Source organism: Homo sapiens, chromosome 8, assembly GCF_000001405.40.
Source record: "Homo sapiens chromosome 8, GRCh38.p14 Primary Assembly".
Lineage (NCBI taxonomy): Eukaryota > Metazoa > Chordata > Mammalia > Primates > Hominidae > Homo > Homo sapiens.
Window position 1 is genome coordinate 31,042,394 of NC_000008.11, and position 17,766 is coordinate 31,060,159.

Genomic DNA, 17,766 nt, shown 5'->3' on the forward strand with positions numbered 1-17,766 from the left:
GATGATGGTCCATTAACACTCAACTCAAATACCATCAATTTGATTTATATCTAACACCACAAAGTTAGGTGTTGAGTTACATGTGGTTATATTGTAACTAATAGTCAGCCCTTCATGGACTTCTATTCTTTGATGAGACTCTTCTTGTAGGAGTAGTAGGTGCCTTAAAGCACCTTTTCATAGTTGTCAGATTGAAATCCTTCACCAGTGTTTTAGGTTAACCCTGTTACTGTGGAAGTTTCTCTTGGCTTTCTGTGTGGGCTGCTTCTTTGTCTAGTTTTACCTTTTGGGGTTAGCATACTATTGTGAATAATTTATTGGTGAGAAGGTAAGCAGAGAAGTAGAGTACTCTATGACCTAGTAATTTCATATCTAGGAATCTATCCTATAGAAATGATAGGAATGCCTTACAATACCCACATATCCACAAGGGTATTCATTGAACGTTATTTTTGGTGAAATTCGCAAGCAACCTAATTATCATCAATAGGGAATTGTTAAATTATGATAGATAAAATGGAATTCTATTCAGTCTTCAAAAAGTCAGATCAAGAAGTGGTCTTACATTTTAATTATCCCATCCTGTCAACAAGAGTGTCTTCAGTTGCAAGTAATGGAAAAACCATTCAAACTGACTTCAGCAATAAAAGGTTATTTATTGGTCTGTTTCATGGAGACATCTGAGGTAGAGTGGCCTTCAGGCAAGTTCACTCAGGGATCCGACTATTTTTCTGGCCTTATTCTTGGCCCTCTTCTATGAAAACACCTTCAGGGTGGTTTCTTGTATGCTTGTAAGATGGCTACTTGCATCAACCATGACCACATCTAGCAGGAGCAAAAGCATCCTTTCCCGTACCAGAGGAGAGTCCCGAAATTTGTTGCAATTGGACTGCCTTGGAAGCAATAATTATGGCCAGGAGATGGAGGCTAGAGAACTGAGACCTGATCATAGCTCCTATCCTTGAATCAGTTGTATAGCAAGGGGAATTGGATTTTCCTTAAGACAGTTGGATTTCACCTGTAGTCTTGGTGATGAGGTCAGTTCCATCCATAAAACTTTGCTGTTACACATTTTGGGATGGGGTGAGGAGGGCTGAATGGAGATTAGGATGCTATTGAAATTTGCTGTACACAATGGATCATTATCGTCTTCTTTCTTAGTGTTAAGGTAATCAGCCTCTTTTTCCTCCTCCTATGCTTGACTTTACTAAAACCATGAGACATGTTTAACCTCAGGACTCCAATTTGAAAAAATATAGACTGTTATTTACTTTATTACTTACAGAAGCCCTTCATACTACTCTCAGCAAGAAAGAGGTAGGCAGGGAGTGAGGGAGGGGGGATCATGCTTACTGAGAAACAAACTATCGAGTATTGAAACTCCCCCTTCATATGCCTGACCTCAGTCCCATTCAGTTACCAGTAGGGGCCCCTATTAATTGGTACCTCACCAGCTTTTGCTGTTCGTTCATAAAACTGAGTCATTGAAGTACAGTAGAAAAATAATTGGACTACAAGATAACTTATTTCCTTCCATAATTGCAAAATATCTGATTTTTCTTCTTGTTTGTATTATGTAAACTTACCCTGTCTGAGGGTCCTCCTGGATTGTTCTTTGCATTTATATATACATAGAATTTCATTTTCTTTTTTCTTGTTTTTTTTTTAGACGGAGTCTCACTCTGTCGCCCAGGCTGGAGTGCAGTGGCACAATCTCGGCTCACTGCAAGCTCCGCCTCCCAGGTTCACGCCATTCTCCTGCCTCAGCCTCCCCAGCAGCTGGGACTACAGGTGCACGCCGCCACACCCGGCTAATTTTTTGTGTTTTTAGTAGAGACGGGGTTTCACCATGATAGCCAGGATGGTCTCAATCTCCTGACCTTGTTATCTGCCCGCCTTGGCTTCCCAAAGTGCTAGGATTACAGGCGTGAGCCGCTTGCCCGACCTTCTTTTTTTTTTTTTTTTTTTTTTTTGAGACGTTGAGATAGAGTCTCACTCTGTTGCCCAGGCTGGAGTGCAATGGCACGTTTTCAGCTCACTGCAACCTCCACCTCCCAGGTTCAAGCGATTCTCCTGCCTCAGCCTCCTGAGTAGCTGGGATTACAGGCGCCCGCCACCATGCTCTGCTAATTTTTGTATTTTTATTAGAGATGGGGTTTTACCATGGTGGTCAGGCTGGTCTCGAACTCTTGACTACGTGATCCGCCTGCCTCGGCCTCCCAAAGTTCTGGGATTATAGGCGTGAGCCACTGTGCCCGGCCAATTTCATTTTCTATTTTGAAATTTAAACTACCACTGACACTTCGTTTTCCCTCTGTTTTACTTAGCATTTATCTTAGAGAATAATCTTAATATGTATAGTTCTATTTTATTCTTTTACTGGCAGCTTAGTATGCCATATTTTGGATGTGTCATTGTTTATTTACCTATTAATTTACCCTATAACTGCTTCCCATATTTTTGCTTTTACAAAGGGATGTAATGAACATCCTTTACATACGTCTTTGTGCATATGTGCAAATATTTCCATAGGATAGATGTAATTACTGACTTGAAGGTTATGCAGATTTAAAATTTTGATGCCTTCTATGAAACATCTTTCAAAATGGTGATGCCAGTTTCTTCTCTCGTAATTACTGCATATGGTCAATCTTTTAAATTTTTGCTGGTAATGATATTTCAAAATTATAACCAGTTTTTTGGCCTCATTTCTTGAATAACTTGTTTTTTCTCAAAGATAAGAAATGTCTCCTTCATCGTATGTCAAATTTCCATATTTACATGGATCTATTTCTGGACATGGCAAGTTTTATTTATTTATTGTATGTATTTACGGTGTACAACATGATGTTTTGATACACATATACGTAGTGAAATGATTCCTACAGTCAAACAAATTAACATGTTCACCACCTTCCATAGTCTCTGCAGTCTTCAAGGTTTTCTCTATATGGGATTAGACATGCTATGTCTGATCTGTTTTTGTATTTTTACACCAATTCCACACTAATTTTTTTTTTTTTTTTGACTGGGAGTCTCGTTCTTATTGCCCAGGCTGGAGTGCAATGGCATGATCTCTGCTCACTGCAACCTCCGCCTCCCAGGTTCAAGCAATTCTCCTGCCTCAGCCTCCCTAGTAGATGGGATTACAGCACTCGCTGCCACACCTGGCTAATTTTTGTATTTTTAGTAGAGATGGGGTTTCACCATGTTGGCCAGGCTGGTCTCGAACTCCTGACCTCAGGTGATCTGCCCGCCTCGGCCTCCGAAAGTGCTGGGATTACAGGTGTGAGCCACCTCACCTGGCACACACTATTTTAATTACTGTAGTTTTAAAAGTTTCATATTTAGTAGGGTGAGTTTTTCCTTGTTGGTCTTGTTTTTCAAAAAAAATTTGCTGCTCTTGAGTATTTTCTCTTCCCAGTGAACTTTAATGTAAACTCACGTGGTTCAATGAAAAATTCTGATGACTTTTTTTCTTGGTATTGCTTCTTGAGTGTATTGATTTAATTAATATATTTACAGTTTTGGGTCTGGCTGTGCCGAAACGCAGTGTGTCTTATCCAGTCCTTTTTTAACTGTCTTAATAAAATTTGCTGGTTATCTTTAAAATGGATCTTGTATATTTTATGTTAGGTTTATTCCCAGGCAGGTTGTCATTTTTGCTGTTACTGATTTTGGATATAAATTTTGGATATAATTGTATAATTTGGACTTGGATATAATTGTATTTGATTCTGTCTTATATATAAAAATGAGATAGGATAATAATTTATCCTAGGATAAAAATAATTTGAGTATCCTTATTTTGCATCTGGTACCTTACTTGCTCCTGTTAAACAAATAGATAAAATTACTTGTCTTCAAAGAGATCCTGTGGAAAAATTATTTATTTTAGGAGACTTTGGAGCTTTGATAAAAATTAGGCTTATCTTTTGTAAAAGCTGGTTAGTGATAGCAATCAGACTCTTTTAAAGGTGATTTTTTTTTCTTTCCTTTGATAAAATGCTTAATATGAGGGAGGATTAAGAAAGAGGATGGCTTTTGAACAGTTTCTTCATGGGGAAATAAGAAATTAGAATAATTTCATGTTCTCCAAAAAAAGGAGAAAAATGACCTTCCCTCCTGAGCCTACTTCAAGCCTCTGTTTCTTTCTGACTCTATTGTTCTCATCTCTGCATTTTTCCAATCTCTTCTACTGTTAGTGTTTTAGGCTAGCTCCTCAGTGGAGGGCAGAAATTCACCTTCTCTTTAGCTGTCTTTGAAACCAAGAAGATAGAGGTATGAGATCTTCGTAGTCTGTAGTAAGAATAATAGAAGCCATCAGAAAAAAATATCAAAGCTTTGTAGCTGCTCCTGGAAGTTTTGATGTGAAGCAGGAGACATCACCTATTGGTACCTGACTTGCTTTTGCTGTTCATTCATAAAACAGAGTCTCTGAAATACAGTAGAAAAATAATTAGACTGGAGGATAACTTTTTTCCTTCCAGGAATTACACAATCACAAAATTGCTGATTTTTCTTCTTATTCATGTTACATAAACTTATCCTGTCCGAAAAGACTGTATTTGAACTTACTATGTAAGATTTGCTTTAGGTAAATTTATGGCTGCTTCCAGAATTGTGTATTAATTTTCCAGTTTCTTTTTTACCAGTCTCCACTTTTACCTTTCCCTCTTCCCCCTATACTTAAATTGGTCTTACTGTAAAATTTATGCGTTTCTCTTTCTACCTGGCAATGCTGATTTTTTTTTTTTTTTTTTTTTTGAGGCAAGGTCTCACTCTTTCACCCAGGCTATAGTGCAGTGGCAAGATCGTGGCTCACTGCAACCTCGAATCCCTGGGCTCAAGCGATCCTCCCACCTCAGTCTCCCAAGTAGCTGGGACTACAGATGTGTGCCATCGCACCTGGCTCATTTTTGTATTTTTTGTAGAGATAGTATTCGCCATGTTGCCTAGGCTGGACTCAAGCCAGCCTCCTGCCTTAGCCTCCCAAAGTGCTGGGATTGCTGGCACGTACCACTACATCCAGCCAGGGCTGAGTTTCTGAATCATCATTGCAGCAAGAGAAATTGGATTACCTTTAGACCACTGGCTCTACTGTGGGCTGGGAGTGGGACACCTTCCTTAAAGCGCATTGGACATTGGCTTTGTGGGTAACTGATCTTTACCTGAATGAAATTTATCAGTACTGTATTAAGGGTCTAGGGTGGAACGGATGCTAGCAAGGCAACCGTTAACATCCACTTACTGATGAATCCTATAAAATTTTATTTCAGGCCATACGAAGTAACAGTAATAAATATAAAAGGAAAAATAGACAACCTAAGCAACTTTTTAAATTGACTTACTTGAAAACTTTCCCTGCAATTTCCCGGTTTATAATGGTTGATTTCAGCTGACTGGCTATAGCTACTTAGAGAACAGAGGAAATTCATTAAAAATAATGAATTATTCAGTTGGGTAGTGAAATCCAGTTATAAAGCACTTCGCTGTGCCATGGATTCAGTTCAGGTCAAGTGATGTTCCTGGTTTATGGGCAGTGTGGCTTCTCACTATGACACAGCAAAGAACGTAGCTTTTATCCTTTACCCTTGTTACTAACTAAAATTAATGGCATTTTATTGTGTTTATTTGTTTGATTCCATTTACAGTTTATTTCACTTGGTTTTATTAGTACAAAATTGTGCTTTATATAATATTTGACAGTTAGGAAAAATTGTTAGATACCTATAAAGAAACAAGTCTCTCAAAAATCATCCTACTACTTTTAAAAATTACATCGTCTTACTACAGTTAACCTAGATGTGAATGGGTAGTTTTATTTAGCTTTTCTGGTTTGTTTGCTTGGTCTGTTTGGAGGGAAGTTAAGATTAGCAGAAATGTAGTAATAGATTCATGAAAGTCTTGAAAGCTTCTTTAATTAGAGAATTTAATGAGGGCTTTGGCATGCATTCTTTGGTTTTTCTCTGTTTTCCTCTACCCCTTCTTATTCTTTTTGGTTCATTGAAAAGTAGAAAGAAATTCTCAAAAACCGTACAGGAGAATACCTTATAAATGATATCTTCTGCAATAAACTATAGATTGTATATATGTATATGTATCTAGATACACAATCTGTGTGTGTGTATATATATGCTTGTGTGTGTATAAATGTATAAATTAGTTACTAGTATATACGTAAGTATAAAACCTCAATGTGCAAGGTTACATTTTCAGAAAATATGTAATATAATAAAAGAAATCAAGCCCAGAATTTTTAAAAAGTTTATTGCGCTTTCTGTTAAAAATGAAAGGCTTTTTGACTGGAAGCTGCTTCTCAGTAAAAATAACATAATTGTGTTGGTGAAGCCCAAAGATTCTAATGAAAATTAGGGTATTGACAACCAAACGGAATTGCTGGAGTACTTAAGCTGCTTTGGTTTTGTAATCTTTCTGTGTCAGAATATTTGAAAAACACTTATTAATCCAGTCTTGTAACTTATCCTTGAAATCTCTTTTTTAATATTCTTTTCCACACACATGAAAAGTTAGATGAGTGTATGAATTTCTGTTGTCAGACTAGTTGTAAACCTCCTAAATATAGTTTCTGCAGTATAGTTAAAGAGAAAGAACATCCTGGCTAACACGGTGAAACCCTGTCTCTACTAAAAAAAAAATACAGAAAATGAGCCGGGCATGGTGGTGGGTGCCTGTAGTCCCAGCTACTCCGGAGGCTGAGGCAGGAGAATGGCGTGAACTCAGGAGGCAGAGCTTGCAGTGAGCCGAGATCACGCCATTGCACTCCAGCCTGGGCGACAGTGCGAGACTCTGTCTCAAAAAAAAAAAAAAAAAAAAAAAAAAAGAAAGAAAATAGGCCCAGCAAGGTAGCTCACGCCTGTAATCTCAGCACATTGGGAGGCTGAGGTAGGGAGGATTGCTTGAGGCCAGGAGTTCAAGACCAGCCTGGGCAACATGGTGAAACTCCATTTCTACAAAAAATACAAAAATTAGCTGGGCATGGTGGCATGTGCCTGTAGTCCCAGCTACTTGGGAGGCTGAGTGGGAGGATTGCTTAAGCCTGGGGAGGTTGAGGCTGCAGTGAGCTGTGACTGAGCAACAGAGCTAGACTCTGTCTCAAAAAAAAAAAAAAAAGAGATGGGTTTTGAAATTCAGTACTTTTTTTGAGTGAGGTCCAATGGGTCAGAAAGAAGCATTGGATAAATGAATCCATTTTCTCTTCTCTGTTTGAATTTGTAATTTGAAAGAATATTCTACCTATAAAGTACTTCAGTGCTTAATTAGCTGTCAGTGAATTTATATATCTTATCTAATTCATATGGATTTGCTATTTTTATCTGTACCTACAGATTCCTGACCTCTCTAAGGGGATCCCAGTATACTATAGGGAATGAGGTATAATAGAAGTAAAAGACCTATCACTAGTCCTGTCATCATTCCAACTCATGTGTAATTATAGTTTAAAAGAAGTGACATCATGTGTATTGCTGTTTATCTTTACATTAATCTTGTGGTCAAGAAAGCAAATACTATAATATATAATAATTATATAATATCATAAGACAAGTAATATAATAATGGGAATATAATCCCATTTTACAAATGAGGAAATGAAAATTTAGAGAAATAAAGTGACTTGTCCAGGGTCACATGGATACTAAGTGACCAAGTGTCAAAGCAGAATTTTCCAAATAACTTAAAGATAATTCTTGTACAAATATAGAACGAACACATGTCATATGTGTTGTGTTAATGAGGGAACCAGAAGGATGACAACATTGGTTCAGAGAGATGCAAAGATAAATATAGACATTGGAGGAAAAAGTTGGAAATAAGATTGTTAGGTTAGATACAAAGCTGTGTTATAGGCCAATAAAAACCATAGACTTTGAGGTTATCTTTTTTACTGGACAGGATTCAGTTACACCTTTATGAGACCAAAATTTATTATTTAACATGTGGATATTAGAGTCTGAGTTTTAAAATTATTAGTAAATGACCGTCAAATAAAGATATGTCCCCTAATGAAATACTGATAATCGCTGGGTGAGCTTGTGCTCCTATATGACATTGAAATGACATACTGCCCTCTCTTTGTCTTCTAAGTTTTGGATACTTTTTTTTTTTTTTTTTTGACACAAAGCTGCATTAGAACCTAGGTTTCTTGATTTTCAGTCCAGATTTCTTTCCACTCTACTTCCTGCTTCTTCATAGTATAATTTTCAACACTAGAGCAGTCTGCATAACTTTTGCAAAATCAGCTAGTCTTTCTTATTAGTTTTCCTTTGTGCAAAGTGATGTAGATACAGCTTTCTTCTTCAGAGAAACATTGTGAAATTCAATGAATATTTGTAAAATTTGCATACGTGCCCAATGTGAGAAATTGAAATTATTACTTAAGTATTGCAACTGTTCTTTTAGGATATTTTGTTTGCAAATTTCAGAGTAATTATAAATATTCTTGCATTTTTATTGTAATCAGTATTTATAAAACAGTGTATTTCATCACATTAACCTTTACATATTTTGAATAAAATAGTATTGAACCATTTTAAATAGTAAGTGGAAATTTTTCCACATTAAACAGTATAACGGGCTAACAGAGTTAAGCATTGCATTATTTAACTAATAATTTTTTCCTGAACTTCAGATTATTATCTGTATGTGTCATATAACTTGACAATTTTTTTTTTTTAGTGCTTTTTAAAAAGAGTGGGATACTTTATTCAGTTTAGCCCTCAAGCAATTAGGCAAGTCAGTTACCATGGTAACAGTAGGTATTAATTTCCTTACCTAGTTAGAGGTTTTATGAACAAAGAAATCTCTGAGTTCATCCACCAAAACCCAACTTTCTCTTGAGACTGGCCTCTTGAGACTGGTGTTAAATTTGTCTATTTTCTAGAAGATGACACTATTCTAAGTGGAAAATACGGTTCTCTTGAGGTGAATTTCTACTCTATCAAGAGTGAAGTAGAGTATGGCTTAAAAGTTAAGTGATTAAAAAGCTACCCTTTCTTAGCTAATTTGGAATGTAATTGGTCTTAATTTTTCTAAATTCGTTCTAACCAAAATCTTATTGGCGTGATTTCTATTGACATGAACTAGAAGTGACTTCAGCAGACAACTTGTCCCAATATCTAAATGCTGTCAAATAGAATCACTTAAGATGAATTTCTTCCAAAACAGAGTTCACAATTTTGACAGATAATCTCTTAGCATTTAATTGACTAGTATTACCAACCTTATGGAATAGGTCCACTCGTTTAGCTATCATGAGGACCATTTTGCAACTAACTTATCAAAAAGCCTTCACCAAGAAGTTGCATATCTTATTGATATTTTAGAATGCGATTATGGAGATTAAAAATCACCACAATGGGTTGTTAATAACGCCAGCCTTGAACTTTCAGTTTTAGAGCATTTTATCTGTGTTCTGTAGTCAAAGTTGGTAAGGTGTCCAGTGGGTCATGTTTGACTTGCTGCTTGTTTTTGTACTGTGTGCTAAATGGTTTCTACATTTTTCAGTGGTTGAAAAGTCAAAAGAAGAATAATATTTTATGAAATTTAAATAAATCCAGGTTTCAGTGTCTATAGGTAAAATTTCATTGTAACGTTGTTATGCTTAAGTATTGTTTATGACTTCTTTGCTATAGTGACAAACTTGAGTAGTTTTGACAAAGATCATCTGGCCTGTAAGGCCTAGAATAGTTACTGTCTAACCCTTTAGAGAAAAAAATTGCTGGCCCTTGTTCTATAGTATGAAAAAATATAGCCTTGATTATTCATTAAAAAATTATTTTCCCATTTTATTGACATACTTTTGTCCCCTGATTGTTAAAAGGAATGCATGTTCTTATAGAAAAGTTGGAATATATAGAAAAGTATAAAGAACAATATGAAAAACCATTTGCAATTGTGAGATAACCACTAATGTTTTGGTATACATTGCTCCAGACTTACACACAAACACACACGCGTATTTATTTTATACAATTAGAGTCTAATTTTTTTTTTGAGACAGTCTTGCTCTGTTGCCCAGGGTGGAGTGCAGTGGCAAGATTTCAGCTCACTGCAACCTCTGCCTCCTGGGCTCAAGTGATTCTTGTGCCTCAGCCTCTTGAGTAACTGGGATTACAGGCGTGCACCACCATGTCCAGCTAATTTTTGTATTTTTAGTAGAGACGGGGTTTCGCCATATGCCCAGGCTGGTCTCGAACCCCTGGCCTCAAATCATCGGCCTGCCTTGGCCTCCCAAAGTACTGGGATTACACACGTGAGCCACTGCGCCTTAATTTTTTAATTTGCTTTTTTCACTTGAATAATTATAAGAACATTATTTTTAATGACTGTGTAGTGTTCTGTTTTATGGATGTACCATACTTAATTATTTAGTCATAATTTATTATTATGAGGTTGATAAACATGATAATCAGATTGAGCTCAAGAAGCTAGTTATAGGGTTGCACAATTAATGAATCCCAGGTACCTCGCTGGGTTGCTGAGGCTGCTATTTTTTTCCTGCCTGTTTGGAACACTGTGTTTGGGACCAATGAGGCAAAAGAAATTGAAGAGCTGCCATTTTCAATTATTCTATTAGAAGATACATTGAAGATTTGTCAAATGACATAGACACAACACTAATCCAGAAGATTATTTAATCAAAAAGGCATTCATTTCAGATATGAATTCATAAACATTTGTAACGATCCTCAGTTTGAAGACCATATAGAATCCCTGAAGAACTGGAAGACACTATTTGCTTGGCAAAGAGAAGTCCCCAGACCAACTGGGGATGAAATATTCAAAGAGATAAATGAATACTTTGAAACATACAAGGTACTATGGAAAAAGAGTGGAAGTTTGGGACAGGTAATGACAGGAAGATATAAAAGCTTTACATTAAGTTCAATCTAAAACTTTATTCCAAGTAACAGGTTGTCTTATTCATGGAGAAGCAGTTGTAAATTAAAACTTGCCTGTGGTTTGGAATTTCACATTAAATGATTACATTAAAAATTCAAATGGTGAACCTAACTAAATCCAAGCTCCTACAGTACCTTCTTTTCACCTTTAGGTGAAGAAATGCGGTGAGCTATTTTATTACTGATTATGTGGACAGTCCAAAGGAAGGTTCATAAGCGAAAAGGAAAAATTTAAATTATTCCATGTGAGCGATTCTTACTTTGCAGATTTGTTGAAGTGTAGTTACTGGCTTCAAAAAGTGGTATCCTTAACTGACATTTTGAACACTTGAATTCACTCAATAAAAAAATGCAGTGATCATGTGGAAAATACATTAAGGTATATGACAGAGTTTATGGATTCAGAGCAAAAATTCAGCTTTGGAAAAGTGAAGTTAAAATGGTTTTTTAAGTGATGTTTAATTGGTGTTATTTGAATCCTAAAGAAGAATTAATAGTACTAGTAGAGGAAAGTCAGTGTGTCTGTGACAAAGCTTTAGTATTATTTTGAAATACTTGATATAAAAAAGTTCACGTTTACTCAAAGCTTACTTAAATCATCAGAATAAATTAACATGTTTCTTAATTAAAGAAAAGGAGAAGCTATTAGACTTAAAAAATTTTTGCACCCTTGAAATACATACAATTTGAAGAGATTAAGTTGTTGGAATACTGGTTAATGGTGAAAAAGGAGTTTTCAGTCTATGAAAGCAAAGCCTTCTCCTTTGCCATTTGCTTTTTTGTAGTGGTTGCTATGTAGAATTCGAAGAAAATATTGTTAAAAAGTCTTGGTCAGGAGTAGAGTGTAGCATGAACCCAATGCATTTTAACGTTAATAATGAGGAAAAAGGGAATGCATGATAATTTCATCAAGTCAGAAAAAAATGGAAAAAGAAAAAGAGGAAACTGAAGAAAGTAACTGATGAAAGTAAGGTGAAAGGGAAAACAACTTTTTATACCACCTGTGAATGAGATTAATTTTCGTTTCCATACTGAAAGACAAATATATTCCAATTAAGCCATTCAAAATAAAAAACAATTTTTTTTTGGTAAGAGATGGGATCTCACTATGTTGACCAAGTTAGTCTTGAACTCCTGCCCTCAATCAGTCCTCCTGCTTCAGCCTCCCAAAGTGCTAGGATTTCAGGCATGAGCCACTGTGCCTGGCCAAAACCAAAATTAAGCAACAAAACAACAACAACAAAAATTCCAGACAGCCTTTAAAATAATGATAAAGGTTGAAAAATTGTAGATAGTGGTAGGTAGATAAGATTTCAGGAAAAGTCCAAAGCAAATCATAATACGTTATTTTAAAGGGGGGTTTAAAATCCTTTAAAGGTACAATGTGAAGCATTATGAAATGATAAAATACATGTTTTTTAAAAACATTAATTTTATTTTAAGTTCCAGGATACATGTGCAGGACGTGCAGGTTTGCTACATAGGTAAATGTGTGCCATGGTGGTTTGCTGCACCTATCAATCTGTCACCTACATATTAAGCCCCGCATACATTAGCTGTTTTTCCTGATGCTGTCCCTCCTCCAGGACCCAGTGTGTGTTGTTCCCCATGTATTCTCATCGTTCGGCTCCCACTTATAAGTGAGAACATGTGGTATTTGGTTTTCTGTTCCTTTGTTAGTTTGCTGAGGATAATGGATTCCAGTTCCATCCATGTCCCTGCAAAGTACATGATCGTGTTCCTTTTTATGGCTGCATAGTATTCCATTTTATATGTACCACATTTTCTTTATCTAGTCTATCATTGATGGGCATTTGGTTTTTTTCCATGTCTTTGCTATTGTGAATAGTGCTGCAGTGAACATGAACATGTGTGTGCTTGTATCTTTATAATAAAATGATTTATATTCCTTTGGGTATATACCCAGTAATATAATTGTATAACCCAGTAATAGGATTGCAGTGTCAAATGGTATTTCTGGTTCTAGGTCTTTGAGGAATCGCCACACTGTCTTCCACAATGGTTGAACTAGTTTACATTCCCACCAACAGTGTAAAAGCATTCCTATTTCTCCATAGCCTTGCCAGCACCTGTTGTTTCTTGATTTTTTAATAAACGCCATTCTGACTGGCATGAGAGGGTATATCATTGTGGTTTTGATTTGTATACAAAAAAGATTTGTATTTCTCTACTGATCAGTGATGTTGAGCTTTTTTTCATGTTTGATGGTTGCATAAATGTCTTTTTTTGAGAAGTGTCTGTTCATGTCCTCTGCCTACTTTTTAATGGGATTGTTTGTTTTTTTTTTCTTGTAAATTTGTTTGAGTTCCTTGTAGATTCTGGATATAGACCTTTGTCAGCTGGATAGATTGCAAAAATTTTCTCCCATTCTGTAGGTTGTCTGTTCACTCTGATTTGCTGTGCAGAAGCTAAAAGACATGATTTTAGAAAAAGACATGTCAAAGTCATACATGCTCAACGACATAGCGAGTACATATGTAAATAAAAAATTATTTTATGCTGTGAATTTGACCGAAAATAACCTTTACCTCGTCAGGAATTACAATCCTCACGTATGGTAAAGGATTTCCCTATTGCAAATTATTCCACAACATTAATGTTCTGTGTGCTTTTTATCTATCCCAAGATACAAGTAAATTTGACAAAGATATTAGGTTTGTAAACAAATTTACGTTCAAATCTTTGCCTGGAAGTATCTAGATAGAATTTTGCATGCAAAAGAGTATTTACATCTAAAAAATTACATATTTCAAATTAAAATGATTTTAGTGTTATAGATAGAAGGAAAGAGTTATTGAAGTTTATTTCTGTTTTGGCAGTGTAAATGAATTACTTACAAAATTTTAGAAGTCTACAGGTGTTTTTATAAAGTTTGTGTTATTTGTGGAAACCTCAGTTTTCTGGCATTTTGCCAATGAGGTCTACTCTAAGTATAGCAGAAATTTGTTTTCCAGCTTTATAAATATATATTTTAAGATTAAGAACTGATTTTACTTATATAATCTGGGATCAACTTTTGGCTTCTCCTGTCAAGGATTTTGAATTTGTGACAAAATATACACTTATTGATAACCAGTGACATATATAAAATGCTTTACAATTAATAAAGCATATGTATTTTACATATTTTTTCACTACATATGACGCATGTGGCAACCCCAAGAGTTGAGTTGTACCCATCGGCAAACTTTGATCATGATTCTGTGAATATAGGCAAGCACCAATTGCAGGTAGAACATTCTTTTTTTGAGTCCCAAACCGTGAGAAACAAATTACAGAAATGTACCTTTCTTTTGCATTAGGACACGTTGTAGTTTTGTATGAACACTCTAGTTTTAAGCAGTATGTGCAAAAACATTGCACAAAGGATTTGTGTGTTGATTTTGGGACTCCTGTATTATTAATTATGTGGTTTATTTGACTACCCCACATTTTCAAGCATAAATTAATAAATCCATAATTCCAGGCTTATTAACAATAAACAATCTAGATAGTTGAACTCTTTCTTGCTAACATTTTCTAGATATGGACTGTTTGGTATTTTTCTACTAATAAAGACCCTTAGTAAGCTGCCTTCTGGTTTGATGTCATTGGGATGTTTACTGGGAACTTTGGTGGAGATCTTGCAGTCTCTCTCCCCCAGTGGTGAAAGAATGAGTTACAAACCAGCTTTCCTTCCCAGTGTACAATAGCGATGGAGTTTGTTCTATATGGAAAATTTGTTTGATAAAAGTATTCTTTAAAATTTTTTGTTCCATAAATTATCAGTATTTTCAGTTTCTGATTCATGCTTGGGATAGTTGCTGCATATTGTTTAATTTTGTCAGAATTTATATTGTTAAATATCAAATACGACAGACTACCCTCAAATCATAAGTAGTTAATGTAATTAACATCCTGTTTCATCATGAGACTCTTCAGTGTTACATTAAAAACTGCTACCTCCTGGGCCGGGCGTGGTGGCTCATGCCTGTAATCCCAGCACTTTGGGAGGCTGAGGTGGGCGATCGGATCACGAGGTCAGGAGATTGAGACCATCCTGGCTAACATGGTGAAACCCCGTCGCTACTAAAACATGCAAAAAATTAGCCGGGCTTGGTGGCGGGCGCCTGTAGTCCCAGCTACTCAGGAGGCTGAGGCAGGAGAATGGCATGAACCCAGGAGGCAGATCTTGCAGAGAGCTGAGATCGTGCCACTGCACTCCAGCCTGGGCGACACAGCAAGACTCCGTCTCAAAACAAAAAACAAAAAACAAAAAAACTGCTACCTCCTTATTACAAATAGGAACTAAAGTTGAAGTTTGAGGAATTTGCTAAGAACTAAGCCTTGAACTAAGGCTATTTTATTTGAGTATGAGTCATATCAGGGTACGGATCCATTTTACTATTAACAAAACAAATATGTTCTGTTTTTTTTTTTTAAATGCACACACCACGTTTGAGAGATTCTTATTCACTGTATTTTCTTTAATTATACTTGAATTTTGGTTTACATTGAGGAGTGCCCTCAAAGATATTAACAGATTTTTAAAAAATCCTCTAAAAAACTCATTCTTAGGGAAATTTGTTCACTTACTAGGTGAGGAGCAAAATAAAAATCCTTAATATAGAAGAGCTATTATCTGTCTTCAAAATTAAGTCTTTGAGTAGATTTGTGAATAAATCTAATAGTTTTGCTGAATTTACTTAGATCTTAAGACAGAATAATCATGTAGAAAATTTAAAATGTCAGGAATTCATAATGATTCATATACCCAAGGATTTTCATTGATAGTGAGGTAAGGTTATTCTTGAGAAAGACTCAAAGTCATAAAATAATAGAATTTCGAAACTACCAGAATTATACAAGTCAATTAAAATGACTGATTTGTTTTAAGAGGAAGAAATACTAAATGTATAATTATTAGATGCAGCATATTGTATCTGTTTTGTTTTGTGATTCTAGCTCTTATAACCTATGCTTGGACCTAGGTGTCATAACTTACTTTAAATATGTATGTTTGGTTTTCATTCATATTGACAGTACTACCTCTCAGTTTTCTTTCAGATATTGTTTTGTATTTACCCATGAAGACATTGTTTTTTGGACTCTGCAAATAGGACATTTCAAAGATGAGTGAAAAAAAATTGGAAACAACTGCACAGCAGCGGAAATGTCCTGAATGGATGAATGTGCAGAATAAAAGATGTGCTGTAGAAGAAAGAAAGGTATGTTGTTCATTGACTATTCTTTTGGGTGAGAAATTTAATTTATATTTGACTGTGCAAAGAGTCAGTTGTTACTTGTAAACTTCAAGTCATTGTTTAGGTCAGAGTTGCTGTTGTCTAAATGCACCAGGACCTAGTTGTTGAAAGGGTAAACTGGAATAAACTTTAATTGGGTTTACAAAATGAGAATTCTTACTGTATATTTTCTCTTTTTCGGGTTGACTTTACCAGTTTGTTCTAGTTCAGATAATTTAGACAACATTAACTTTGTTGAATTTTTTGTTTGCCAGCCGGTCTTCAGCATTTTAAGGCAACATTATTATTACAGTTGTAATACGAATATAATTACCAGAGAAAAAACTCAGGAAAATAAATGCTTTTATGAAAATGGGATTAGAGGTTTGAAAATAAACTTGTTAGGAGAAATAATTTCACAATGGGATGGTTTTTTCTTTGTTAAGTTTTCTTTATGACTTCATTAGTTTATAAAACATTAATTGATAAAACTTAGAACTATAAATTGAATGCTTCAGTGAACTTTATTATTTCAGTGAACATTTGTTATTTGATGTGAACTTTGTGCCTGTTTTGAAATTTACTAAACTCAAGGCATGTGTTCGGAAGAGTGTTTTTGAAGATGACCTCCCCTTCTTAGAATTCACTGGATCCATTGTGTATAGTTACGATGCTAGTGATTGCTCTTTCCTGTCAGAAGATATTAGGTAAGTGATTTGAATTTCCTGATTTTATTTGAATTTGGACCCTTAGAAGGTACTATTATGGTAATGTTTGTGAATATACTGAGTTTTACAGGTGAGGTGTGTTCAATAGATAATTATTTCTATGTATACACTATCACCAAGTTTTACATTTCAAATAAAAGTCACTGAATTAATTTGTAATCTGTCAGTTTGTTCATTCATAAGCTTTTCTATTACTTCAGACAGTTTTTTTTTAACTTTTTTAATATATGTGCTGCTGAAGCGAGCACGACAGTTTTTTAACTTTCAGTACTTAAGATGTTATATATAGAGCTACTGAACATACTGTGTTTATTTTACCAATTTAGGGAAAAAGTGCAAAAATTATTTAACCTTTAAATGCACCTTTATATTTCATTAAAAATATCAACATAGTAATATTGAATAATGGCTATGATCGGCTCTGTTGTGTGTAATTAGTAACAGTTGTAGCAAATGATCCTTAAAAAATGTTCTAACTAAACATTAGAGGCCAGGCGCGGTGGCTCAGGCCTGTAATCCCAGCACTTTGTGAGGCCGAGGCAGGTGGATCACAAGGTCAGGAGATTGAGACCATCCCGGCTAACATGGTGAAACACCGTCTCTACTAAAAATACAAAAAATTAGCCAGGTGTGGTGGCGTGCGCCTGTAGTCTCAGCTACTCAGGAGGCTGAAGCAGGAGAATCGCTTGAACCTGGGAGGCAGAGGTTGCGGTGAGCCAAGATTGCATCACTGCACTCCAGCCTGGGCGACAGAGTGAGGCTCCGTCTCAAAAAAAAAAAATCCAAAAAAACAACCCCACAAACAAACAAAAAACATTAGAAATGTCTGTTAGTACTTTTAAAGGTTGCCTTGTAAAATTAGGACTGCAATAG

General features: G+C 35.5%; 1 protein-coding gene across 5 annotated transcripts in view, besides 2 other annotated features; it reads left to right on the forward strand.

Moving 5' to 3' along the window:
- WRN (WRN RecQ like helicase) overlaps nt 1-17,766 on the forward strand; it is a 142,329-nt gene that overhangs the window by 8,584 nt on the left and 115,979 nt on the right. For all 5 annotated transcript variants that reach the window (XR_949472.4, XR_949471.4, XR_949470.4 and 2 more), the window contains exons 2-3: nt 15,979-16,150; nt 16,760-16,872. Coding sequence is in view for 2 of the 5 variants with exons in the window: in NM_000553.6 (NP_000544.2) it covers nt 16,055-16,150; nt 16,760-16,872 (209 nt within the window). In the remaining 3 variants the exon portion in view is untranslated. The remainder of the gene's footprint in view (nt 1-15,978; nt 16,151-16,759; nt 16,873-17,766) is intronic.
- Nucleotides 14,466-14,967: an enhancer, noted in NCBI's record as "H3K4me1 hESC enhancer chr8:30914375-30914876 (GRCh37/hg19 assembly coordinates)". NCBI's record gives its function as "activates a minimal SCP1, AML or CMV promoter by ChIP-STARR-seq in naive H9 embryonic stem cells {active_cell/tissue: H9 hESC(naive)}" and the evidence as "EXISTENCE:reporter gene assay evidence [ECO:0000049][PMID:30033119]".
- Nucleotides 14,968-15,467: an enhancer, noted in NCBI's record as "H3K4me1 hESC enhancer chr8:30914877-30915376 (GRCh37/hg19 assembly coordinates)". NCBI's record gives its function as "activates a minimal SCP1, AML or CMV promoter by ChIP-STARR-seq in naive H9 embryonic stem cells {active_cell/tissue: H9 hESC(naive)}" and the evidence as "EXISTENCE:reporter gene assay evidence [ECO:0000049][PMID:30033119]".